Source organism: Homo sapiens, chromosome 11, assembly GCF_000001405.40.
Source record: "Homo sapiens chromosome 11, GRCh38.p14 Primary Assembly".
Classification (NCBI taxonomy): Eukaryota; Metazoa; Chordata; class Mammalia; order Primates; family Hominidae; genus Homo; species Homo sapiens.
Window position 1 is genome coordinate 66,284,399 of NC_000011.10, and position 25,137 is coordinate 66,309,535.

Sequence of the window (25,137 nt, forward strand, 5' to 3'; positions counted from 1 at the left end):
TCTTTCCCAGCTGAGGCTGCTGAAACCCTTACAAGGCAGTATCAAGGTCACCAAAGTCATGAAGCCCTCCCTGGGTCCACCTTCTTCCTAGACGGCCCCAAGCCCGATCCCCTGGGCAATGCAGAGGCGCAGAGGTATCTGTAGCTCCCCATCAGGCCCCAGGAACAAGGGTCAGACAAAGTCAAGGAAATCAAATCTTCAATGAATGAAAAACTCAGTGCCATCTGGGGCCAGGGGGTCACCGGACCAGGTGGAAAGTCAGCCAGTATATGATGAGGGGCTGGAAGGCTGCAGCTCCCAGAGTCAGGTAGAGCTGGAGACGCTGCCGGGGGACGGGGCCCCCCATGCTGTCGGGGCCCAGGGCTGCTGTCCGCAAAGAGCGCACCTGGAAGAAAGGAGAACTGAAGCCTGGCCAGGAGGGGGAGGTTTGCCCTCAAGTGAAGGCAGGGGAATGGGGGGGTGCACCAGACTCACAATGAAGTACATGAGCGCCGATGAGGTCCAGGCCAGCGCCACGTAGTAGCCATCGCTGCCGAACAGCAGCCCCGTGAGCACACTGAGGATCATTCTGGGGGTGGGAGGAGGAAAGGGTTGGTGACCCCCAGGGGTCTAGGCCTGAGATTGGCCCTACCCCCAACGCCCAGAGCCCAGCTAGACCCCACCTCCCACAGCACCTTTTACTCTCAATCTGTCCCCACAGGGACCCAGACCCCAAAGGGATATGGAAGGCCCAGGACTCAGCCCCAGGACCTGGATCTGAGACCCCCTTCTCTCCCCAAGACTCGCAGAGTGACTCTCAACACCTCCCCAACCTCTGCATGGCACGCAGATCCTCAGGAGACTGCTGGAGACAGCTGCTCCCTCTTAACAGAGCAGTGCTAGAGGTCACTAGGGGCCGAGACATGTCCAGGGTCACAGTTCGAGGCTACAGCTATGCAGGCCCAGATCCAAGGCCACCTCCCCCTGGCCCACAAGTGCTCACCCCACGTATTTGTAGCCACTGTAGGCCAGCAGGTGAAAGGTGCTCAGGTCACTGCGCACGGTGGCCAGGTAGAGGCCCAGGAGCAGGGCCAGCACCTCCATCACCACCCACACCAGCGCTGTGCTTGCACACAGGCCCAGCACCTCCGGGGAGAACCTGCGCCAAAGCAGGGGTGGCTCAGAGCCAGGCATCCTGAGGCAGGGGTGAGGAAGAGAGACTGGGGCAACAGAGGGTGAGCTGGGGACCACCACATATGCCCTAGGGAGGTTGGGAGAAGAGCTCACAGGGAGGGGAGGGTAAGGGAGGGGCTTGGCACTGACCTTTTCTGAATGCCCAGTGCCATCCCAGCCAGGAGCACGTAAGTAATGAAGGCCATCGCTGCCAAGTGCCAGAGAGATGCCATCAGCTTGGCTTCCTCCATCAGAGCTGCCTTACTAGGCATTCGGGTTCACCGACATGTCCCATACTTCCTTCTCTGAATAGCCCAGCATGGCCTGACCTCCACATTCTGCTTCCAAATGCCCTGCCTGGAATGCCTGTCTCCGATCAGCCCTCTCCCACTGTGTAAATGCCACCTGACCCTTCTTCCAGAACCACAAGCCACCTTTCCTGTCCCTGTGCTGGGAAGCTCATCAGTGTTCTGCTGCATCTCAGAAACTGTATCATGGGCCAAGGCCATTGTTCCGCCTATACAGGGACCAAACTGGTTTCTGGCAAGACCAGAAGCCAGGTTCAGTGGACACCCATGCTGTCCTGAGTCTGGGGTCATGGAGATGACCTCACCGCAGTCAGCAATTCTAAGTCTCAGCACTGGCTAGGGCTCTGGCTGCCCAACAATGCAGGGAACTCCAAGTTTAACTTTGGGCAGTATTCATAAAAGCTCAGAGCCAGTGGGAGCCGGGCATTAGCAGCAGTTTTAACTCTGTCTTCTGCCCCGCTTAAAGCACTAGAATTGGCTGGGCGCAGTAGCTCACGCCTGTAATCCCAGCACTTTGGGAGGCTGAGGCAGGCAGCTCACTTGAGCCCAGGAGTTCAAGACCAGCCTGGGCAACATGGCAAAACCCTGTCTCTACTAAAAATACAAAAATTAGCTGGGCCTGGTGGCAGGCGCCTGTAGCCTGCAGTCCCAGCTGCTCAGGAGACTGAGGCAGGAGGATCACCACCTGAGCCTGAGAGGCAGAGGCTGCAGTGAGCCAAGATCACACCACTGTACTCCAGACTGGGTGACAGAGTGAGACCCTGTCTCAAAAGAAGAAGAAAAAAAAAGCACTGACATGACCACCAGCGGGGAGTGTCTGGAGTTCTGGAGTCAGGAAATCAGCTGTACCACCTGTCAACTTTGAGGCCTCAATGATACTGAAGCTCCTCTGAGGCTTGGCTTCAACATGTAAAATGGGGATGCCAGTTCCAGCCTTACACGGTGGCTACGATGGGCACACGGGATGAAGGATGGAAGCCCCTGTGCTGCCCAGCACACCTAGGCTGGCTGCCTGCCCTCAGTCCCACTGGCTGCCCTCACTGGAAGCTCATCTGCGGGCTGGTCCCTGCACACTCACTCACCCTGGGTGTCCACGATGGGCCTGGCCCTGTGCAGCCAACAGGACAGAGAAGAGTCAGCTGTATGTGTGGGCAGCCTGAAAAATGCCATGTGGACAGGCAGTTGTGGGAACCCAGAAGGGAGCCACCACTTGCTCAGGGGGTCAGGAAAGGCTTCTTGGAAGAAGGGATAACAGAGCACGCCTTGGAGGACAAGCAATAACGATGATAAGAGTTAATGTTTCCTACGTCCTTCCTGTGTGCCAGGTGAGGTGCTGAGCAAACATCACCTTGCTGAATCTCTCCAACAGTCCTTTGGGGTAGGGACTACATTAGTCCTGTTTTACTGAAAAGTACAAATAACCAGCCTGAAATCCCATAGCTGGAGTCTGCAAAGCCAGGTCTAAACCCAGAGCTCCAGGCTGGGGAGGGATACAGTCCAAATCAAGAAACAGGAAGGTCTCAAAAGGGTGTCCTGGGGACACTGAAGGCGCATTCAGGAAGCTCCTTACTGGTCACCCTGCACTGCCTGCCTGGTGTCTTGCAACTGCCACACATACACAAAGCACCAAGAACAGATGCTGACTCAGTAGCTGCGCCTCTCTTCCCATTCATCCCTCAAGGCACAAGTCCCCCCCGACCCCACCCCACCACGTTCCCCAGCCCAGGTTGGAGACTCACTGGGGATATAGAGGTCAGGGGCGTTGAGGTCTTGCCGGGGGGGCAGAGGAGCATCACGACTGTACTGCACTTCCCAGTTCTGGCAGTGGCAGTGGCAGCAGCGGCCACATCAGGAGGGGAAGAAGAGAAAAGAGGAGAGAAGGGGGTTGAGGTCTGGGGGCCAGACTCGGGCAGAATGAGGAAGGCCCACCAGCTCCCTTGGTAGGAAGCTCACCTGGTGTGTGTAGGGGAAGACCAGCAGCCCTAGCTTCTTGGCCACGTAGGCTGTGTCCACAGCAAAAAAATACTTGAGTTTGCTCACAGACACAAAACGGTGCAGCTGGGAGGGGAGAGAGGAAGCTGTGGGCAAGCCGCACCCCAGGCCTCAGGGTGCCCCTCTGTGTGCTCCATCCCTGAGGGCACTGTGAGGAATCGGGTGGAATCCCATGATGCCCCAGCCCTAGCCAAAAATTCTGCCACCCGTGCCCCGGGGGCAGGCCACACCTCCTTGTGCACCATGTCCTTCCCATGGGATGCGATGGAGCTGCCATAGGCCATAGCCACATTGGCCATTGGGTCCCCAAGCAAGTGGTTGACACTGAAGGCCACGTCTGCTCCTGTGGCTGGGTATCCCCCGGGCTGGCTGGAATAACCACCGCTTGTGTCATCGAAGAGGGGAGGGGGATCCGGGGCTGCCCGGGCCCTGTGCTTGGAGCCTGTGGGTTTGGAGGTATCAGAGTAGATGACAGAAATACCAAGCATGAGCCCAAACCACCGCCCCTTCCCTGGCTGGACAGCCCTGCACGGGTCCTGGAGGCACCGATCAGTGAGGGGACCCCAAGCTGGGTGAGGGGGAGCTAACTGAGAAAAAACTGTGATGAGGGATCCTTTGCGAGAAATCCGTTGCTAAATGTAGGCAAAGAAAGAGCTGAGGCAGCGCCTAGAACTGGTTGCCCACTTGGGGTTTCTGAAGGCCTCTCACTGGAAGTGACCTCTGAACTGAGCCACAGTGAGTAGAAGTGTGCTAGGTGAAAATAACTGGGAGGGCATCCTTCCGTGAACAAAGCTGGGAGAGGCGACAGCTGGCTACCTGGAGGCCCTGGACAGTGATCAGGGACCTCATCAGGTTCACAACAGTCAAAGGAGTTTCTGGAGGAGGAGGCGGACCCCGTTTTTGCCCGACTCCGGCATGGGATTCCCAGGACTGGGCCGAGAGGGCGAAGTCCGGGACGTGTTGGAGTGTTACGAGGGGCAGGAACCCGAGTGACACCCCCGCCCTGGGCGGCGGTCCCAGTCGCTATCTCCCTCGGGGTGAGCGGGCCACGCCGCCGACTCTCCCCCCGCCGGCCGCGCCGCGCCCCGCCCGCGCCCCACGCACCGTGGGCTCCGTAGCCCGAGTGATAAGCCATGGCCGCGACGCTCGCTGTCCCCGAGGGCCCGCTGCGCCGCCTCGTGGGTACGAATACTAATGAGGCAGCTGCTCCGCGCCCAGGGTACCGACCGAGGCCACCCGGCCGCGCGACACGTCCCCCACCCCGCCGGTCTCGGCCACCATGTCCGTGGCGTCATCCCCCGCGCCTGCCATTGGCTCTTCGGCGGCGCCGGCTCGCCCCTCCCCTCTCCCAATTGGCCACTGACGAGCTCTGGCCTGAGCGGATTCGGCAGAAGGCAACATCCGGGTGAGGGACAGGCGGAGCGACTTGCGGTGCCTGGGATTGGATCACGGGCTTGCCAGTTCACGGTGGGAACAGCCAATAGAAGAGTTAAGAAAGAAGGTGGGCGAGAATTATTTGCGCGCCTGCGCGGTGAGGCACTTGACGCACCCTGCCACGACTACACCAGGGAGTCGAGAGGTAACCTGCAGCCGGAGTCAGGAGCAAAGCTTCCTTGGTGGGACGTACTCCAGGAGGGAACGGGGCGGTCGAGTTCCAACCAAGCCCTGCCCTTCGGGGCGCCTGTTTCTCCCTCTCTGGGCTTGTTTTCCTCCCCCGTCACCTACACTTCACCCAATCTTGGAACGGAGCCCCGGCAGACCCGGAGGTGGTGGTGGGAGGCCGGACCTATCAGTGACAGAGCTGCCAAGCAAGCCCCAGGATGCTGACTCCACCCGCCTCCCACTCCTCTTCTCCGCGCGGGTGCTGTCCGTCGTCCGGTGCTGAAAATGTCCTCCCGCCTCAGCCGCCATCCTGTAGACTCCCGGGGGCCTGCGTATGGGAAGATTTGGGGTCTCGAACCACACGCTCCTAGCGAGCGCGTGGCCGCACGCACACATACACGCATACTGCAAAACTGGGGCCCAGAGGATCCGAAGTCTGAGAGATTGGGTGGTATAGGTGGGGCAGGATCCTGCCCCGGGCCTGTCCCATAGACTCTCCCGTAGTCCAGCAGATTTGGGGGCAGAGGTGTGCTGATTTGCGTCCTGAAGCTGCAGCCTAAACTCCTGAGTCATCGCCGGGCCTGTGGTCTTCTTGAAGTGAGGCCCCTAAGCCTCACTTGTAGTCCCGGGGGTTCCTTTCTCTCCACCCAGGTTCTGATCACTCCCAACCCCGCGGAGACAGTCTTCAGGGGCCTCCCTCTCACAGACCTTCAGCCACCGCTTTCTAGAGAGCATGAGCAGGTTCTCTGCGACCTCTCTAATTAGCTACCAGGTATCCAGTTACACCAGATGACCTTCCTGCTCCCCAAACTCAGCCCACGTGGTCTGATTGCAGTGCCATTGCCCAGAGGTCCCCTCCACCTGGGATGCCCTTCCCCCTCATATCCACTTGTCCATAAGCCTAGTTATCTTTAAGAGTTAGTTCATCTCGTGCCTCTCAGAGGGACAAAGGGGACAGAGACCTGACCCGGTCAGGGGTGGAGGTCATAGGTTGGGTTCTAGGCCCCCTCTGGGTGCACCCAATTTGCCCTGCATGTAAGTTCCATGAGGACAGGCCCTGTTGTCATTCTCCACTTCCACCCTTGTCTTCCCAGTGCCAAGCACAATACTTGCATATGGAAGACACCCAATAAACATCTGTGTCCAAGAAATTCATAATAAATAGATAAAACCCTGGACCAGTCCTTTCCTGTGTCCACATCTCAATTACCTAATCTTTAAGTGGGTAAGGATGTTTAATTGAATGGTCTTTGAGTTGCTCTTTGCCTGAACACACGCACATACAAAAATGAATTAACCCACCAGTATTGCAGCTCATTTTCTGCCCATATTGTCTAGTTTGGGAGCAAAGCCAGACCCAGACACAGATGTGAAGATCTGAGGCCCTGGAGGGCTAGGAGGTAGCACTGGGGCCACGTGTACCTGGGAGGGGGTCATCTAATGCAAGTCAGTTCCCATGTCACTGCAGGGCACAATGGATACTTGTAAACTGAATCCAAAACCTTTCTATGTCTTTTCTTTTCCTTCTTTCTTTCTTTATTTCTTTTTCTCCCTTTCTTTCTGTCTTCTTCTTCTTCTCCTTCTCCTTCTCATTCTTCTTCTCCTTCTAGGCAGGGTCTCACTTTATCACGCAGCTGGAGAACAGTGGTGCAAACACAGCTCACTGCAGCCTCTTACTCCCAGACTCAATTGATCCTCCTGTCTTAGCCTCCCAAGTAGCTGGGAATACAGGTGCACACCACACCATCATGCCCAGCTCATTTTTTAATTTTTTGTATAGGCAGGGTTTCGCCATGTTTCCAAGGCTGCTGGAATTCCTGGACTCCAGTGATCCTCCCACCTCGGTCTCCCAAAGTGCTGGGATTACAGGCATGAGCCACTCAGTCCAGCTTTTATCCCCATTTTTCAGATGGGAAAACTGAGGTTGAGAGTGGAGCATGCTGGCCCAAGGTCACGCAGCCTAGGGTCCCTTGTGTCCTGGCCCCAGCCTGCCTGTCCTAAGCTGAGCCCAGCACCCCTGCCCAGCCAGTGAGACTCGTCACGCTTTTCTCAGCTGTAACTACCCTCTTCTCCAAGTGAGGCTTCAGGGATGGGATCTGGGTGGGCTTAACTCTGGGCCTACTCCTTAGAGATGGGACCCCGCGAGCGCCCACCCACCTTGGAGATTCTCCTTCCTCGAGGGTTTTACAGCCCGGGAAGCTCAGGCGCCAGAGGGTTAGACCAGCTCAAGGTCGCGAGCGCGAGCGCGGCCGGAGGAGAACCCAGGGGTCCAGCCGCCCAGCGGGGGCTTCTCGGGGACGGGCGGAGCGCCCGCGGTGCCAGGCGCTGCCGGCGGCGCCGCCGGTGCCGCGGGGGCGGGGTCAGCGGAGGGCGGGGCGCCTGGCACCCGGGCCGCCAACGCCGCCGCCGCCGCTGCCGCCGCGCTCGGGCTCGAGCTCCGCGCACTCCCTCCGCGGCCGCTGAGCCGAGCGGACGCCCCCGGGGGCCGCGTCGCAGCCCTCCGTGCTCCCCCCTATCATGCCCGGTGCCCAGGCTGGGGCCGCCCAAGCAGCCAGGACACCATGCCCGAGGACGGCGCTGGCGACGGCGGGGAGGTGCCCGCGCTCATCCCGGACGGCGAGCCGCTGCGGGAAGAGGTACCGGCGCTGGGGGGGCCGGAGCCGGGCCTGGGGCGGCGTGAGAGGGACCAGTGCAAAAGGCGACCCCAAGAGAGGGGCTGAGGAGGGAAGTCCCAGAGCCCCTACGGCCAATGACGTCATTGGGGTCACCTGCGCCCTGCCAAGGGTCCAGGGGCCCGCGTTGGGGGTAGGGGTGGGGCGGCTGGACAGCAATATGCGGGGCGACTTCCGCCCCCGGCGTCCCCTCATCCAGCCTCGCCCGTCCTGTGACGTCAGTGCCTGGCCCCCACGCGTCCCAGTGCCGCAGCGCAGCGGGGGATGCTGCCCCCACCCCCAGGGCCGCGGGGTCAGGTCCCCAGCCCGGCCCAGCCGCTCACGAGGTGTCCGGGCAGCGCCTGCAATGCAGCAGCAGTCGCAGAGCCTAGAGGGGAGGAGGGGAAGAGGAAGGGAGGCGCCTGGGTACCCCTTCTCCTTGTCCTCGAGGTGAGGATTGAGGGCCCATTCTGCTGGCTGGGACCCCCGACGGCCCCTCCTCAGCCCTAGCCAGGAAGGTCTGCAGGACCTGGGGCCCCGAGTGATGTGTGGGGTGATAGGGTGGTGAGTGGGGCTGTGCATGCATTTGGGTGAATGTAGCCTGCTTCTGTGTGTGTGTTGTGTGGGTGTGTGAATTGGGTGTGTGCGCCCTGTAGTCAGGTGAGGGGCGAGTGGGTGCCTGGCTCGGGTTGTCACCCAGTGGTCTAGGTGTGCGCATGTGAGTGAGTCCCTTTGTGGGCAGGTCTCTCCCTGTGGAGTCTGAGGAGCCTGGGGGTCAGTTTGCAGTGGGGGGTGGGGAGATGTGCACTGTGGTCAGGTGAAGGTCTGGTATGTCTCTGGGCTTCACTGCACGTGCAACGTGTATGTGCACGTGTGTGTCCTGTGGTGGATGGGTATGTGGTGTGTGCGTGTGTGTGTGTATGTGTGTGTACCATGCTACGGTTCTGGGAGTCTGTGCCCTGGGGACAGGCGAGGGTCTGGAGTTTCCTGGGTGACAGGCAGTGTGGCCCTCCACGGTGGGTGGGTCTGTGATGAGCATGTGTTGGAGGGGCGTGGACAAGTGTGTGTGCACCTGACAGGCCTTGCAGGTCAGCTGGCGCTGTGCTCCCATGCTGGGTGATGGGGACAGGCTGTATCTGGGCTGGGCTAGGGGGTGGTTCCTCTCCTCTTGGGCCTCTGGAGGCCTGGTAGGTCTGGGGTAGGAGAGGTGGCCCCTTAACCCCCCTTTTGTTGTTTCCACTTTTTTCCTCCCCTTTTTACCCTTCCCCTCGCCCCACTTTATCCCTACCTGCTTCTCTCTCCATGGCACCTGAGGGTGAGGTGGCTAGGCTGGCAGCCCTGCCAGGGAGGGTGTGGCAAGCCCTCTGAGCCAGGGAGTGGCCCCTGCTGCCCAGTAGCTGTGTCCCACCCCCTTGCTCAGCACAGATGGGGAGTGGAGGATGGCCCTCCATCTGCTCCCCACCCCAAGACTCGCACCTCCCCCGTTCTTGAGGCTCCCTCTTTCTCATCAACTCAAAAGCCTCTGCCGAGACTTCTGAGTCCCTATGGAACAAGGGACCAGAGGGAGTCTCAGGGTAATGGTGATCATATTTATTCCCATGGCCAGACCCTGTGCTCACTTCTTCACACATATGATCTTGTTGAATCCTCACAATAGAACCAGTTTACAGATGAGGAAATTGAGGTCCAGAGAGGATGAGGGACCTGCCCAAGTCATACAGTAAGTAGTGGAGCCAGCACTGGCTCCTGGGCAGTGGAACTCCAAAGCCCATGCTGTTTACACCTCAGACCCCTTCCACCCTGGCTTCCCAAACCAACAGGACCAAGAATCAAGGCCCAGAGAGGGCAGAGATATAGCCAAGTCCACACAGCAAATCAGGGCAGAGCCAGGACCAGAACCCACAATAGCCAGTGCAAGGATCCATCCCTCCTGGCTGAGGTGGGCCTGCTGTCTCCTGTGTGCGGTTTGCCGAGTGCTAGCACGGCACAGTGGAGGATGGGTTTGGGGCAGCGAGTCCTGGGTTTGAATATGCAGCGCCACTGTGAGTGAGCTGGAAATGTGAAGCCTGGAGCAAGCTGCTCATCCCTCTAAGCCTCAGTTTCCTCCTCTGTAAAATGGGGCTCACGGTATCACCTTCCTCAGCCGGGTTAAGCAAAGTGGCAGGCCCCACTGATGGCCCCACCTGACACAGACTTCCCTTTCTCTGCCCACCTGCAGCAGCGGCCCCTGAAACAGTCCCTGGGAAGCTCCCTGTGCCGCGAGTCGCACTGGAAGTGCCTGCTCCTCACGCTGCTCATCCACGCCTGCGGGGCCGTGGTGGCCTGGTGTCGCCTGGCCACAGTGCCGCGGCTGGTCCTGGGGCCCGAGGCCGCCTTGGCCCGGGGAGCCGGGGGCCCGCCACCGACCTACCCGGCCAGCCCCTGCTCCGATGGCTACCTGTACATCCCGCTGGCCTTCGTCTCCCTCCTCTACCTCCTCTACCTGGCTGAGTGCTGGCACTGTCACGTGCGGTCCTGCCAGGCGCCACGCACCGACGCCCACACGGTGCTGGCGCTGATCCGCCGGCTGCAGCAGGCGCCGCCGTGCGTCTGGTGGAAGGCCACCAGCTATCACTACGTGCGGCGCACACGCCAGATCACGCGCTACCGCAACGGCGACGCCTACACCACCACGCAGGTGTACCATGAGCGCGCTGACAGCCGCACGGCCCGCGGCGAGTTTGACTACTCGGCGCACGGCGTCCGCGACGTCTCCAAGGAGCTGGTGGGGCTGGCGGAGCACGCGGCCACGCGGCTGCGCTTCACCAAGTGCTTCAGCTTCGGCAGCGCGGAGGCCGAGGCCTCGTACCTCACGCAGCGGGCGCGCTTCTTCAGCGCCAACGAGGGCCTGGACGACTATCTGGAGGCGCGCGAGGGCATGCACCTGAAGGACGTAGACTTCCGCGAGTCGCTCATGGTCTTCGCCGACCCCCGCAGCCCGCCCTGGTACGCGCGCGCCTGGGTCTTCTGGCTCGTGTCGGCGGCCACGCTGTCGTGGCCCCTGCGCGTCGTGGCCGCCTATGGCACGGCTCACGTGCACTACCAGGTGGAGAAGCTCTTTGGCGCCAGCTCGCCCCCGCCGGGGGCCGTGCCCAGCGGGCCCCCGCTGTCCCGCGTGGCCACAGTGGACTTCACTGAGCTCGAGTGGCACATCTGCTCCAACCGGCAGCTGGTGCCCAGCTACTCGGAGGCCGTGGTCATGGGCGCGGGCTCGGGCGCCTACCTCAGAGGCTGCCAGCGCTGCCGCCGCTCTGTCAGCAGCAACTCGCTGCCCCCCGCCCGGCCCAGCGGGCCCCGCCTGCCCTTCAGCCGCAGCCGCCTCTCGCTGGGCGCTGGCGGCCGGGCCACGCCAGGGGTCTTCCGCAGCCTGAGCGGGGGGCCGCTGGGGCGCCGTGGAGAGGACACGGAACCCCTGGAGAGCCCGCCCTGCTATGAGGACGCCCTCTACTTCCCGGTGCTCATTGTCCACGGAGACAGCGGCTGCCAGGGGGATGGGCAGGGTGCTCTCTGAGACCCCCCACGGCCCCCAGAGTGGCCCCCTCCCCACCATTCCACCATGGGCTTAGATGCCCGAGTGATTGTTGTCCAAAACAGGCGGGAAAACAGACCAGCCACACACAAGGGGCAGGGGTGAGGGTGGGGGTGGGGGTCCTTAAACAGACTAAAATGCAGTTACCTGTGGTCATTTTGGAGGAAGTGGAAGCCTAAGAATCGCCCCCAGCATGGCTTCATCCCCCAAGATGGCCGATGATCTGGCCTGAAGGCCTCTCACAAAGGGCAGGAGAAGAAGCTTCCAGAAAGGCTGGGATGGAGGAGGAGTCCTGCGGCCAGCTGTTGCCTGCAGCAGAGGCTGCCTGTGGACACTTCCCTACCGGGGCTGAGGCCATGCTGGGAGCCCCCCCAGTGACGCAGAAGCACAAATTGGAGGCTTGGGGCCATGCCCAGCCAGGTTGGCTTCCCTGGGGCTGAAGAGCTGGCTGTGGTGGCACCATGGCCTTGGCCCTGCTACTCACCCAACATTCCCATCCTCCCCTGATAGGCCCCTCCTCCTTGCCTGCCCTCTCTCCCGCTGCTCAGGGCCAGTCACTCCCCCCACATGCAGCTACCCCTACAACCTGGGGTTCCTTCTCAGGGCCTCACCTGGTCCCCACATCCCCTGGCCTCTGCTCCTGCCTCCCAAAGTCCATGTCTGCCTCCATCAGCCACACACACGCAGGGACGCCCGTTCCTTGCCCTCCCGGACTTATCTACTCTTCACTTTCCTGATGATCCATGGGGCCCAGGCCTAGAGGGCATCCGAGGGGCTGGGCCTTGGCCACAGCCTCTTGGATGATGTCCTTGCTCCACCACGCAGGCCCTTGCTTCTCCCATCAACGAGTCTTGGCCCAGGGGACACTGACCCTCCCCCAGGGAGGAGAGAGGAGTTCCTTCCCTTTCAACGAGGGCTTCCACGCCCTCTAAGGGGTGGCGGGGAAGGGAGGAGGCTGAGAAGATGCAGATTAAATAAAGGTATGGAATGGAAGGCCTGTGCATTCCTGGGTCATGGGTCTAAGGCCTCCACTGCAAGCATTATGGGCCCCCATGGTTCAGGGCACGATGAGGGGTTCTGGGAAGGGACTCAGAATTGGGCTCCAGTGTTCCCAGGAACCAAGTAAGCAGAGGAGAGGAAACCTCCCCTGCCTAGCCTGGGGCCTCTGAGACTCAAGTGTGAGGCGCTCTGAGCACCTGGCTCCCCTGACTCCGGTATCTGGGCCTGGGTCACTGCTAAGGCATTGTCAAGGTGGCCCTTGTTCCAGCTCAGTGGGACATTCCACTCTGCTGCTGGGCATGCCGAGGGCTAAGGGAGTGGTGGCCGGTCCCCAAAGTGGGGAGAAAGAGCTATGGTCTGTGACTCGAATTCGGTGCCCCCCCAGCGGCTACTGACATTATCAATCTGAGGGAAAGGGCATGAAGCAGGTCAGAAGACACAAAGCTGGAAAGGGCAGCCCCAAACCAGGGCAGGCTGGCATGGAATCCAAAGGCAGAGAAAACATCAGGGAAAAGGAAGGTCCTGACTCCCTGATGGAGCTCTGAAAGATTCCTGGACGTGGCATTGTCACATGTGCAGCAGTAAAGGGTGTTCACTGTGCAAGGGCAGTGGGCTAAGGGGCAAGCGTGCATGGAATCCAGCCTACAGGCCACTCCCCAAACTCTGGCATGGAGCTACATCCACTTGGAGAAAGGGGACCGTTTTCCTTTTCACGCAAAGGTGGCTTAAGGGCTAGTGGTGGCCCGGGAAGTGTGCTGAGAATGGGTGGATTTCACTAAGCAAAGACATGGCAAGCAATGTCTTGGACAGCCGATGCTGCCCAGACAAAGGCCTGGTTGTCGGGCATGAGCTGAGGTGTGACAAGGAGATAGAAGCAAGAAGCCATGGAAGGCTTTGCTGCAGCTTCCATGCCAAACCCTAGAATTTGTCCTTAAACTGGAGCAAACTGGGCAATCTGGAACCATGGAAGGGGGTTGGGCAGGGACGTGATACAGTCAAGGCTGCATTTTAGGATATTTAGCAAAAGTCCAGCGACCTGCTGGCTCTGTCGGGAGGGTGGAGTGAAAGACCAGAGTTCTCCCTGTGCGTTAACCCACAGCCTCTCTTCTTTGGGTGTGAAATCAGTTCCTCGTTCAGAAGCAAATTAGGTGGAAAACCCTGTGGTGCCCAAACATTCAACAAGGCTGCAGGGGGTGGCCAGGCACAGTGGCTCATGCCTGTAATTCCAGCACTTTCGGAGGCCGGGGCAGACAGATCATTTGAGGTCAGGAGTTTGAGATCAGCCTGGCCAACATGGTGAGACACCCCCCACCCCCGTCTTTACAAAAAATACAAAAATTAGCTGGGTGTGGTGGCGGGCACCTGTGACAGCTACTCAGGAGGCTGAGGCAGGAGAATCGCTTGAACCCGAGAGGCAGAGGATGCAGTGAGCTGAAATTGCGCCACTGCACTCCACCTGAGACTGTCAAAAAAAAAAAAAAAAAAAAAGGCTCCAGCAGGTAGGGAGGCCAGCATGCTGGTTTCAGCTCCTTGCCATGGGAAAGACCCTTTTTCCACCATTCTGCTCTAACACCATAGCCAACAACTGCCCACTGGCCACTCACTGTCCATTCTCCTCCCTTCCCCAATAACAGAACCCCAGTTTTGCTGCAGAAGGCAATGTGCCCAGCTAAAGGGCAACATTTCCAGCCTCCCTGGCATATATGGTATGACTGTGTGGCTGAATTCTAGGATATTAGATATAAACAGAAGGTGCTGGAAGGGATCTCCAAGAATGCCCCTTGAATAGAAGCAGTATTGATGAAGGCCATTTTTGTCCTCTCTGCTTCAGCCTGCATTCAGCCTTGGATGCATATGTGATAGCTGGAACGCCAGCAGCCATCTTGGAGCAGGAAATGACCTTGAAAATTGTAGCCACAGGCTGGGCGCGGTGGCTCATGTCTGTAATCCCAGCACTTTGGGAGGCCAAGGCGGGCGGATCTCGAGGTCAGGAGATCGAGACCATCCTGGCTAACACGGTGAAACCCTGTCTCTACTAAAAATACAAAAAATTAGCCAGGCGAGGTGGCAGGCGCCTGTAGTCCCAGCTACTTGGGAGGCTGAGGCAGGAGAATGGCATGAACCCGGGAGGCGGAGCTTGCAGTGAGCCGAGACTGCGCCACTGCACTCCAGCCTGGGCGACAGAGCAAGACTCCGTCTCAAAAAAAGAAAAGAAAAAGAAAATTGTAGCCACATGCTGAAGACAGCAGAGCAACAAGGGAAAAGATCCTGGGCTTCTGATGACACCATGCAAGTTTCCATGTCATCCCTTGGGTCGCCTACCTCCAGACTTCAATGAGAAAGAGAAATAAACTGTAAGTCTGCTTAAGCCCATTGCTTTTTTTTTTTGTCTCTGTTACCAGCAGCTTTTACCAATTATCTACTGCCACATAACAAATTATCCTAACCCTAGTGGCTTAAAAGAGCAATAATTATTATGCTCTCTCCTGGCTTCTGTGGGTCAAGAACTCAGATAGGACACAATGGGGATGGCTTCTATGCTCCACGACATCCAGGGCCTCTGCTGGAAGACTCAAAAGCTGGGGCTTGAATCATCTGAATGCTCATTCACTCACATGTCTGGCAGTTGATGCTGGCTGAGGGCTGAGGGCTGAGAGCCTAACTAGGGCTGTTGGTGGGAACACCCACACAGGTCCTCTCCAAGCGGCTTGACCTTCCTCATAACATGGTGGCTAGGTTCCAAGAACAAGTATACTGAGAGGGTGAAAGCTGTATTGCACTTTGTGATCTAGCCTCCTAAGTCACATGGCATCACTTCTGCCCCTTTCCATCGGTCAAGGCTACTATGAAGGTCCACTCAGTTTCAAGGGGAGGGAATATAGGATCTCATCTCTCTGTGGAGGCTTGTCAATGTCACATTGTTAGAAAAGCATGCGGGATGGGAGATATATTAGTGGTCATCTTCAAAAATGCAATCAACTGCTGAGCCAAATGCCATTTGCCATTCCTAACTGATTGATACCTGTAAAGTGATCTGCAAAATGAACACCAAGCTCTTTATAGTGCTGGTTTAAGGAAGGAAGGTGGTGGCATGTCAGATATGGGCCTGCTCAGGGCAAAGTGAGCTGCTCAGATCATTTATGGGGACCTTCAGGCCTATGGTAGATTAAATATGGCCACAAATTCTTTGCCACTCCTCTCCTCAAGAGGTGGAATCAGGCCGGGCACGGTGGCTCACGCCTGTAATCCCAGCACTTTGGGAGGCCAAGGCAGGTGGATCACTTGAGGTCAGGAGTTCAAGACCAGCCTGGCCAGCATGGTGAAACCCCAACTCTACTAAAAATACAAAAATTAGCTGGGCGTGGTGGTGTGCACCTGTAGTCCCAGCTACCTAGGAAGCTGAGACAGGAGAATCACTTGAACCCAGGAGGCAGAGGTTGCAGTGAGCTGAGATCACGCCACTGCACTCCAGGCTGGGCAACAGAGCAAGGCTCCATCTCACAAAAAAAAAAAAAAAAAAGAAAAGAAAAGAAGTGGAATCTGTTCGCCCTTTAAATCTGGGCTGGACTTGTGATTTGCTGTGACTGATTGGATGTGAGGGAAGAGATGTTGGCCCACTTCTGAGGCTAGGCCTCAAGGACTCTCGCAGCTTCCACCTTTGCCCTCTTGCAATCCTGAGACCACCATCTGTAAAGATGTCCAGCCAAGCCTCCTGACAGATTTGAGGCTGCGTGGAGAACTGAGGCCCCCAGCCAAGAGCCAGCATCAGCTCCAGATATGGGATGACAGAGGCCATCTTAGACACTGTAGCCCCACTTGAGCCGCAGATGACAGGAGCCTCAGGAGTGACCCAAGGTGAGACCAGCAGATGAACTACCAAGCTGATCCCAGCCCAGACTGCTGTCCTATAGAATGAGGGGAAATAAATCCTTGTTTTAATCCACTACATTTTGGAGTGATTTGTTACATGTTACATGATCACTGTCACAAGGCTCTAAACCCACCTGCACCTCATGAGGGAGGGCACTGGGCCTGCACAGCCAGGAAGAGGAGGGACCCAGAAGCCCCATTGTTTGATGGACAGCTCTCAGCTCACAATCTCCTGATGGGAGATGGGGTGGCCACGTGTTCAGACTCTCTTGGAGTCAACATCAAGCCAAGGTGTTCTGTTCTAAACCGTTCTCAAGAGAAGAATTCATGCCTGAGAAGGGGTGCAAAGCCTGGCTCCCAAACCCCAGCGGCCTCTGCCTCTGCTCTCTCCTGACATAGGCTACCCACAGCATGGCAGGAACAGAACCTGTAATTTCCACCCCTACCACCATCTGCTCCTCTCTGTCTTCCATCTCAGGAAATAGAGCTACCATTCAGCCAGTTGCCTAAGCCAGGCACCAGCACGGCAAGCCTCTTCTTTTTTTTTTTTTTTTTTGAGATGGAGTCTCACTCTGTCGCCCAGGCTGGAGTGCAGTGGCCAATCTCAGCTCACTGCAAGCTCCGCCTCCCGGGTTCATGTTCATGCCATTCTCCTGCCTCAGCCTCCCGAATAGCTGGGACTATGGGTGCCCGCCACCATGCCCGGCTAATTTTTTGTATTTTTAGTGAGACAGGGTTTCACTGTGTTAGTGTTAGCCAGGATAGTCTCGATCTCCTGACCTTGTGATCTGCCCGCCTTGGCCTCCCAAAGTGCTGGGATTACAGGCATGAGCCACCGCGCCCAGCCGCCTCTTTTTTTTTTTTTTTTGAGATGGAGTCTCGCTGTCACCCGGGCTGGAGTGCAGAGGCGTGATCTCAGCTCACTGCAACCTCCGCCTCCCGGGTTCAAGTGATTCTCCTGCCTCAGCCTCCTGAGTAGCTGAGATTACAGGCACATGCCACCATGCCTGGCTAATTTTTGTATTTTTAGTAGAGACGAGGTTTCACCATGTTGGTCAGGCTGGTCTCAAACTGCTGACCTCGTGATCCGCCCACCTCAGCCCCTCAAAGTGCTGAGATTACAGGCGTGAGCCACCCCGCCCGGCTGTCTCTTCTTTTTTTGAGACCGAGCCTCGCTCTGTTGCCCAGGCTGGAGTGCTGTGGCGCAATCTCCGTTCACTGCAGCAACCTCCGCCTCCAGGGTTCAAGCGATTCTCCAGCCTCAGCCTCCCGAGTAGCTGGGATTACAGGCACCCGCTGCCACGCCCATCTAATTTTTGTATTTTTAGTAGAGATGAGGTTTCTGCATGTCGGCCAGGCTGGTCTTGAACTCCTAACCTCAGGTGATCTGCCTGCCTCAGCCTCCCAAAGTGCTGGGATTACAGGCATGAGCCACCACGCCTGGCCTGTTCTTTCTTTAAAACTTTGTATTATGTAAAATTTCAGCTTGTAATCCCAGCACTTTGGGAGGCTGAGGTGAGAGGATCACTTGAGCTTGGGAGTTTGAAACCAGCCTGGGCAAGATAGTGAGAGCCCATCTCTACCAAAAAGTTAACAATTGGCCAGGTGTGTTGGAGCTCACCTGTAGTTCCAGCTACTCAGAAGGCTGAGGTGGGAGGATCGCTTGAGCTGGGAGGTCAAGAGGTCAAGGCTGCAGTGAGCCGTGATTGTGCCACTGCACTCCAACTTGGGTGACACAGCAAGACTCTAGTCTCAAAAATAAAATAAAATATCTTTCTTTCTTTTTTTTTTTGTTTTTTGTTTTTAGACAGAGTCTCGCTCTGTCACCCAGGCTGGAGTGCAATGGTGCAGTCTTGGCTCATTGCAACCTCTGCCTCCTGGGTTCAAGTGACTCTCCTGCCTCAGCCTCCCGAGTAGCTAGGATTACAGGTGTGTACGACCACACCTGGCTAATTTTTCTAAAAAATAAAATAAAATTTCAAACATCACAAAAGCAGAAAGATTGGTGCAGTGAGGCCCCTTCTACTCAGCACCCAGTGCTGTGATGATCATCCACCTGCAACCACTCTGGGCTCCATCCACACTCAGCCCCACTTATTTGAGCTCCAACTGGATTATTTGAAGAAGACCTAGAAGCTGTAGCATTTCGTCAGCTCCCCTCACCCGCCCCACCACGCGTGATATCGACCACCCAAGATTCTACTCAGAACACAACACACCCCACCTCCTCTCCACCCCAAGCCACCTTGCTCCAAGTGCCCAGGATTCCTCCCCCATGACTCCGACAGGCCTCCCACGCCCACTTACTCCTGCGGCCTATGCAGAGACCTCATGTAAATCAAATCACGTCCCCATTGGTTTCTGTCTAAAGTTCTCTCCCACCAACTCTCAGCTCGCTTTGCATTTCCTTTCGGCCACTCACCATAAGTTACAATTATTTTCATTTATTTATGCACGAGTTTCTTTATCTGTTTCTTCTATTAGAATTAAGGCCATGGGGCTGGTCATGGTGGCTCACGCCTGTAATCCTAGCCTTTGGGAGGCCGAGGCGGGCGGATCATGAGGTCAGGAGATCGAGACTATCCTGGCTAACACGGTGATACCCTGTCTCTACTAAAAAAAAAAATACAAAAAATTAGCTGGGGCGTGGTGGCGGGTGTCTGTTGTCCCAGCTACTTAGGAGGCTGAGGCAGGAGAATGGTGTGAACCTGGGAGGCGGAGCTTGCAGTGAGCCGAGATGGCGCCACTGCACTCCAGCCTGGGCGACAGAGCAAGACTCTGTCTCAAAAAAAAAAAAAAAAAAAAAAAAGAATCAAGGCCATGGGAGGCGAATAGTTACACGGCCAGACCCTTGAGTTGGTTGGAATAATTCCAACTCTCCACTACAACCTGAGAAGCCCTGGGCAAGTCACTTATTCTCTCTCTTCTTCAGTCTTCTCATCTGCAGAATGAGAGATGACAATAGAACCTATTTACTTCAGGCCGGGCGCGGTGGCTGACACCTGTAATCCCAGCAGTTTGGGAGGCTGAGGCGGGAGGATCACGAGTTCAGGAGATCGAGACCATCCTGGCCAACATGGTGAAACCCCATCTCTACTAAAAATACAAAAATTATCCAGGTGTGGCGGTGTGTGCCTATAGTCCCAGGTACTTGGGAGGCTGAGGCAGGAGAATTGTTTGAACCTGGGAGGTGGAGACTGCAGTAAGCCAAGATCACGCCACTGCACTCCAGCCTGAGTGACAGAATGAGACTCCATTTCAAAAAAGATAGATAGACAGATAGATAGATGATAGATAGATAGATAGATAGATAGATAGATAGATAGATAGAGATATATACTTTTTTTTAAATTCATAGACAGGGTTTTGCCATGTTGCCTAGGCTAGTCTCAAACTCCTGGGCTCACAAGATCCTCCTGCCTCAGCCTCTGCAGTAGCTGGGACCAGAGGTGTACGCCACCATGCCCAGCTATATATGTTTATATTTTGTAGCGATGGGATCTCCCTATGTTGCCCAGGCTGGTCTCAAACTCCTGATCTCAAGCAATCCTCCCACCTCGGCCTCCCAAAGTGCTGGGATTACAGGTGTGAGCCACTGTGTGCCCAGTCAAATTTTTTTTTTTTTTTTTGAGGCAGAGTCTCGCTCTGTCACAGAGGCTGGAGTGCAATGGTGAGATCTTGGCTCACTGCAACCTCCACCTCCCAAGTTCAAGAGATTCTCCTGCCTCAGCCTCCTAAGTAACTGGGATTACAGGCATGAGCCACGATGGCCAGCAATTTTTTGTATTTTTAGTACAGACAGAGTTTCACCATGTTGGCCAGGCTGGTCTTGAACTCCTGACCTCAAGTGATCCACCTGCCTTGGCCTCCCAAAGTGCTGGGATGACTGATGTGAGCCACTGCACCCGGCCTATAAATAAATATATATTTTTAAATATTTATTTATTCCCCATCTAATCTTATAGACGGCCTTATCTAAGGCTCTCTTATTTATTTATTTATTTTTGAGACGGAGTCTTGCTCTGTCTCCCGGGCTGCAGTGCAGTGGCATGATCTTGGGTCACTACAACCTCTGCCTCCTGGGTCCAAGCGATTCTCCTGCCTCAGCCTCCCAAGGAGCTGGGACTACAGGCATGTGCCACCATGCCTGGCTAATTTTTGTATTTTTAGTGGGGATGGGGTTTCACCATGTTGGCCAGGCTGGTCTCAAACTCCTGACCTCAGGCGATCCACCTGCATCGGCCTCCCAAAATGCTAGGATTACAGGCAGAAGCCACTGCACTCGGCCAATAAATATTTTCTTAAAAGATACTATGTGACCGTGCTTAAATCAGGGTCTCAAGCATAGGAAGTGCTCAATAAAGATTGCTATCATCATCATTTGCATTATTATAAATTACAAGTGGACGCTCCCTCTTACAACATACGCACACTTCACCAGCAGCCAGCGCAGTGCCTGGCACACATAATGGATGTCTAGTCAATCTGTGTTAAGTGAATGATTCCCGATCTCCTACCAACACTTCCAACTTCCTGGGGTTAGCTGGGTCCTGAGGGCCAAGTGGACCACGGCCCAGACCAGCCAAAGTTTTCATTGCTTGGCCACACTTGCAGTGGAGCTTTTCTGATCTTTGGTTAGTGGGCTTGAGAACTTAGGGCACCCAGGGAAGCATTTGCCAACTACCTAATCCAGCAAACCATGGCATTCTATGTTTCCTCCTTGGATCCAGACCCCAGACCACTAGACCCCTAGAGCTTCCCCGAGGTGGCAGGCCCAGGTGCATTCATTTTTTGTGAGTTTCATCTTCCCTCTTACATCACACCTGCTGCCTTCTGTTCTTCAGAGCCCGTGAGTATGAAGTCACTGCTGAGATGGCCTGGGATGTATCTGGAAAGGGCAAGGAGGATCAGGCATCCAGCCAAAAGTTGGATACACCCTGAGTGAGGATGGGGAAGGTGCGCTGCTGCCCTTCTGGGTAAAGGTCAAAGCTCCTGGAAGTCAGATTCAACAGAGACCAAGACAGACAGATTGGTTAAACTGATGACTACATATCAAATGTAGCTGTGCCACATCTGCTCCAAGGAGGCATTTCTGTCCAGAATATCAGCTGAGACTGAAATTGGCTAGTTCTCAGTAACCCATGGTCACAGTCCAAAAGATAGATGTATTTTTCTTTTTTCTTTTTTTCTTTTTTTTTTTTGAGACGGAGTCGCGCTCTGTCACCCAGGCTGGAATCCAGTGCCGCAATCTCGGCTCACTGCAGCCTCCGTCTTCTGGGTTCAAGTGATTCTTCTGCCTCAGCCTCCCGAGTAGCTGGGATTACAGGTGTGTGCCACCACGCCCCACTACTTTTTTGTATTTTTGGTAGAGACGGAGTTCCACTGTGTTAGCCAGGATGGTCTCGATCTCCTGACCTTGTGAGCCACCCACCTCGGCCTCCCAAAGTGCTGGGATTACAGGCATGAGCCACTGCGCTTGGCCATAGATGTATTTTTCTTCTCTTTTTAAAAAACATATAAAATAAAACGGACCAAAATACGAATACTTTTTTCAGTAGAATAGTTTCAATTTATGTGTTATAAAAGCACAATACAGGCTGGGCGCAGTGGCTCATGCCTATAATCCTAGCACTTTGGGAGGCCAAGGTAGGCAGATCACTTGAGGTCAGGAGCTCAAGACCAGCCTGGCCAACAGGGCAAAACCTTGTCTGTACAAAAAATACACGCCTGTAGTCCCAGCTACTTGGGAGGCTGAGGTGGGAGGATCGCCTGAGTTTGGGAGGTTGAGGCTGCAGTGAGCCATGATTGTACCACTACACTCCAACCTGGGTGACAGAGTGAGACCCTGTCTCAAAAGAAAAAAGCACAATACATTATAAAAGACAATAACATTGTGCTATAAAAGACTGCAAAAGTGGGCCGGGCGTGGTGACTCACACCTGTAATCCTAGCACTTTGGGAGGCCAAGGTGGGCAGATCACCTGAGGTCAGGGGTCTGAGACCAGTCTAGCCAACATGGTGAAACACTGTCTCTACTAAAAATACAAAAATTAGTCGGGGGTCGTGGTACGTGCCTGTAATCCCAGCTACCGGGAGGCCGAGGCAGGAGAATTGCTGGAACCCAGGAGGCAGAGGCTGCCGTGAGCCGAGATCGTGCCACTGCACTCCAGCCTGGGCAACAGAGCGAGCCCGTCTCAAAAAGAAAAAAAAAAGAAAAGAGAAAAAAAGACTGCAAAAAGTATAGAGACTATTTTAATAAAGATCAAATTCCTGTTGGGCATGGTGGCACAAGGCTATAATCCCAGCATCTGGGGAGGCCAAGGCCAGAGGATTGCTTGAGGCCAGGATTTCCAGACCAGTCCCGGCAGCATACCGAAACCCCTATCTTTAGTTAAATTAAGTTTAAAAAAAATGTTTTTTGAGACAGGATCTCACTCTGTCACCCAGGCTGGAGTTCAGTGCTGTGATCACGGCTCACTGCAGCCTTGACCTCCCGGGCCCAAGTGATCCTCCTTCCTCAGCCTCCTGAGTAGCTGGGACTACAGGCATGCACCACCACATTTTTCATTTGTTTTATTTTAAGAGACAGGGTCTCACTATGTTACCCAGGCTGGTCTCAAATTCCTGCGCTCAAACGATTCTCTTGCCTCAGCCTCCCAAAGTGCAGTGCTGGGATTATAGGTGTGAGCCACCTCGCCCAGCCTAATTTTAAAAAGATCAAGTTCAAACCTCCATAATTAACTTCTGAGATGAAAACATAATCATGTAGAAACTCAAACAATGTGGACATACATGAAGTCAGGAGTAGGAGTGCCCTCTGTTGCTTTCCAAAGCCAAACTGGGAAACCACGGGTAGGAGTGCTAGGACTCCTCGTCATGCTTAAGGTGGTGGTGCTGGTGGTTTCTGGGACTCTCCCAGCAGTGGGGTATAATGGAAACTCAAATCTGACCTTGAACCTGGACCTCGGTTTTGAGCCCCAGATTCGGGTAGCCAGGTGTCTTACCAAGCAGTCCACTTAGATAACTTCCCAACACCTCAAACTCAACATAGCCCAAGCTGACCATACCATCTATCTTCCCAAAGCACCTTTTTCACCTATGTCTCCATCTCCGTGCGTGGCATTACCCAGGAGAGGACCTTTCTTCTCCTTCAATTCAGCCAGTCACTGGGTCCTGTTCAAATCTTCCTGCCGGCCACCCCTCAATGTTGCCGTCTTCTCCTGTTCCAACTCTGCCTCTGCCTAAGGTCTCTTCTTGCCTGGGCAGTGCCCTAAGTGGTCTTATCATAAGTATACTTGCTGTTCTCCTATCTAGTTACTTTAGTATCCCTCATCCCTAGTGGAGTCTCTGAGGCATAGCAGGGTCTCAATTAATATTGAATAAATGAATGCACAGTTTATTATCTTAGTGTGCAGGGGGCTCCAGTGGCCTCTACCTGTAATAGCCCTTGGGTCAGAAGGCAATATGGGAACTCTGAGTGTAAGTTACCCTCTTAGGAACCAGGAAAATAGCCTAGGTGCTCTGTGGGCAAGTCCTGCAGTAAAACACTTGGGAGGGAAAAACACCTGGGAGGGCAAAACACCTGGGAGGGCAGAAAATGAAATCTACACTTTATTATTTGCCTATTAGTGAGAGAAACTGCCACATAAAAGTTGCCCATCACTTTTTATCTAGCTGGTATTAAGACACAAGTGGCTGAGCGCGGTGGCTCACGCCTGTAATCCCAACACTTTGGGAGGCCAAGGCAGGAGGTTCACCTGAGGTCAGGAGTTCAAGACCAGCCTGCCCAACATGGCGAAACCCCCCGTCTCTACTAAAATACAAAAATTAGCCAGGTATGGGGGCAGGTGCCTGTAATCCCAGCTACTCGGGAGGTTGAGGCAGGAGAATTGCTTGAACCCAGGAGGTGGAGGTTGCAGTGTACTGAGATCAGAGGTGGAGTTTGCAGTGAGCCAAGATCATGCCATTACACTCCAGCCTGGGCGATAAGAGTGAAAATTCATCTCAAAAAAAAGCCAAAACACAAGTACCTCTTTTCTGTACAAATACTTTTTTATTTAATTAATTAATTTTTTAGACACGAAGTCTTGCTGTATTGCTTAGGCTGGCCTCAAACTCCTGGATCAAGCGATCCTCCTGTCTCAGCTTCCTAAAGTTCTGAGATCACAAGTGTGTGCCACTGTGCCTGGCCAACAAGTATTTCTTTTTTTTTCTTTTCTTTTTTTTTTTGAGAGAGAGTCTCACTCTGTCGCCCAGGCTGGAGTGCAGTGGCGCAATCTTGTCTCACTGCAACTTCGCCTCCCGGGTTCAAGAAATTCTCTCGCCTCAGCCTCCCAAGCAGCTGGGACTACAGGCGCGTGCCACCGTGCCTGGATAATTTTTTGTATTTTTAGTAGAGAGGGGGTTTCACCGTGTTAGCCAGGATGGTCTCGATCTCTTGACCTCGTGTTCCGCCTGCCTCAGCCTCCCAAAGTGCTGGGATTATAGGCGTGAGCCACCGCGCCAGGCCGCCAACAAGTATTTCTTATGTTGTTTGGACCTAACTTTTTTTTTTTTTTTTTAAAGCAGGGTCTCTCTCTCTCTCTCTCTGTTACCCAGGCTGGAATGCAGAGGCATGATCTCGACTCACTACAACCTCCACTTCCTGGGCTCATGTGATCCTCCCACCTCAGCCTCCTGAGTAGTTAGAACCACAGATACATGCCACCACACTCCGCTAGTATTTTTGTATTTTTTGTTTGTTTGTTTTTAGAGACAGGACTTTGCCATGTTGCCTGGACTGGTCTCGAACTTCTGAGCTCAAGTGATCTGCCCGTCTCGGCCTCCCAAATTGCAGGCGTGAGCCACTGCATTATGAAATGGAACTGTGGAGTAATTCTTTCATGACATTCATAGGCCAAAAAATACCTAACAGCAGTTCGATAGTGTCATGAAAAAATTACTATGTTGTTGGACCTATTTATGAAATGAAATTGTTAGGTATTTTTTGGCCAAT

At 55.1% G+C, this 25,137-nt stretch overlaps 2 protein-coding genes across 3 annotated transcripts, besides 4 other annotated features; one reads left to right on the forward strand and one right to left on the reverse strand.

Moving 5' to 3' along the window:
- Positions 1-181: 181 nt before the first annotated feature.
- On the reverse strand, positions 182-4,745 carry YIF1A (Yip1 interacting factor homolog A, membrane trafficking protein). 2 transcript variants are annotated; one of them, NM_020470.3, is made up of 8 exons: positions 4,557-4,745; positions 3,683-3,894; positions 3,414-3,518; positions 3,200-3,278; positions 1,303-1,360; positions 983-1,138; positions 475-568; positions 182-385 (listed from the first exon to the last, which is right to left on the reverse strand). In NM_020470.3, exons 1-8 carry the CDS (start codon positions 4,585-4,587, stop codon positions 239-241), a joined length of 882 nt encoding a protein of 293 aa, NP_065203.2. In that variant the 5' UTR covers positions 4,588-4,745; the 3' UTR covers positions 182-238. The 2 variants fall into 2 exon arrangements, with proteins under 2 accessions (NP_065203.2, NP_001287790.1); NM_001300861.2 differs by lacking the exon at positions 983-1,138.
- Positions 4,362-4,821: a silencer, noted in NCBI's record as "silent region_3586". NCBI's record gives its function as "represses an Ori minimal core promoter by ATAC-STARR-seq in GM12878 lymphoblastoid cells {active_cell/tissue: GM12878}" and the evidence as "EXISTENCE:reporter gene assay evidence [ECO:0000049][PMID:35858748]".
- Positions 4,362-5,061: a biological region, named in NCBI's record as "Sharpr-MPRA regulatory region 5915".
- Positions 4,760-5,054: an enhancer, noted in NCBI's record as "tiled region #5915; HepG2 Activating non-DNase unmatched - State 1:Tss, and K562 Activating DNase unmatched - State 1:Tss". NCBI's record gives its function as "activates a minimal TATA promoter and a strong SV40 promoter by Sharpr-MPRA in HepG2 and K562 cells {active_cell/tissue: HepG2 | K562}" and the evidence as "EXISTENCE:reporter gene assay evidence [ECO:0000049][PMID:27701403]".
- Positions 4,922-5,061: an enhancer, noted in NCBI's record as "active region_5042". NCBI's record gives its function as "activates an Ori minimal core promoter by ATAC-STARR-seq in GM12878 lymphoblastoid cells {active_cell/tissue: GM12878}" and the evidence as "EXISTENCE:reporter gene assay evidence [ECO:0000049][PMID:35858748]".
- On the forward strand, positions 7,496-12,266 carry TMEM151A (transmembrane protein 151A). Its single transcript, NM_153266.4, has 2 exons — positions 7,496-7,690; positions 9,924-12,266. The coding sequence occupies exons 1-2, from the start codon at positions 7,616-7,618 to the stop codon at positions 11,253-11,255; spliced, it is 1,407 nt and encodes a 468-aa protein (NP_694998.1). The 5' UTR covers positions 7,496-7,615; the 3' UTR covers positions 11,256-12,266.
- Positions 12,267-25,137: the final 12,871 nt, after the last annotated feature.

Coding starts and splice junctions, on each gene's coding strand:
- YIF1A (NM_020470.3), bottom strand. CDS start 4,587: ATGGCTTATCACTCGGGCTACGGAGCCCACG. Junction 3,895..4,556: donor CTCGGGCTACGGAGCCCACG/GTGCGTGGGGCG, acceptor CCAAACCCACAG/GCTCCAAGCACAGGGCCCGG. Junction 569..982: donor AGTGGCTACAAATACGTGGG/GTGAGCACTTGT, acceptor TCCCACCCCCAG/AATGATCCTCAGTGTGCTCA.
- TMEM151A (NM_153266.4), top strand. CDS start 7,616: ATGCCCGAGGACGGCGCTGGCGACGGCGGGGAGGTGCCCGCGCTCATC. Junction 7,691..9,923: donor GCGAGCCGCTGCGGGAAGAG/GTACCGGCGCTG, acceptor GCCCACCTGCAG/CAGCGGCCCCTGAAACAGTC.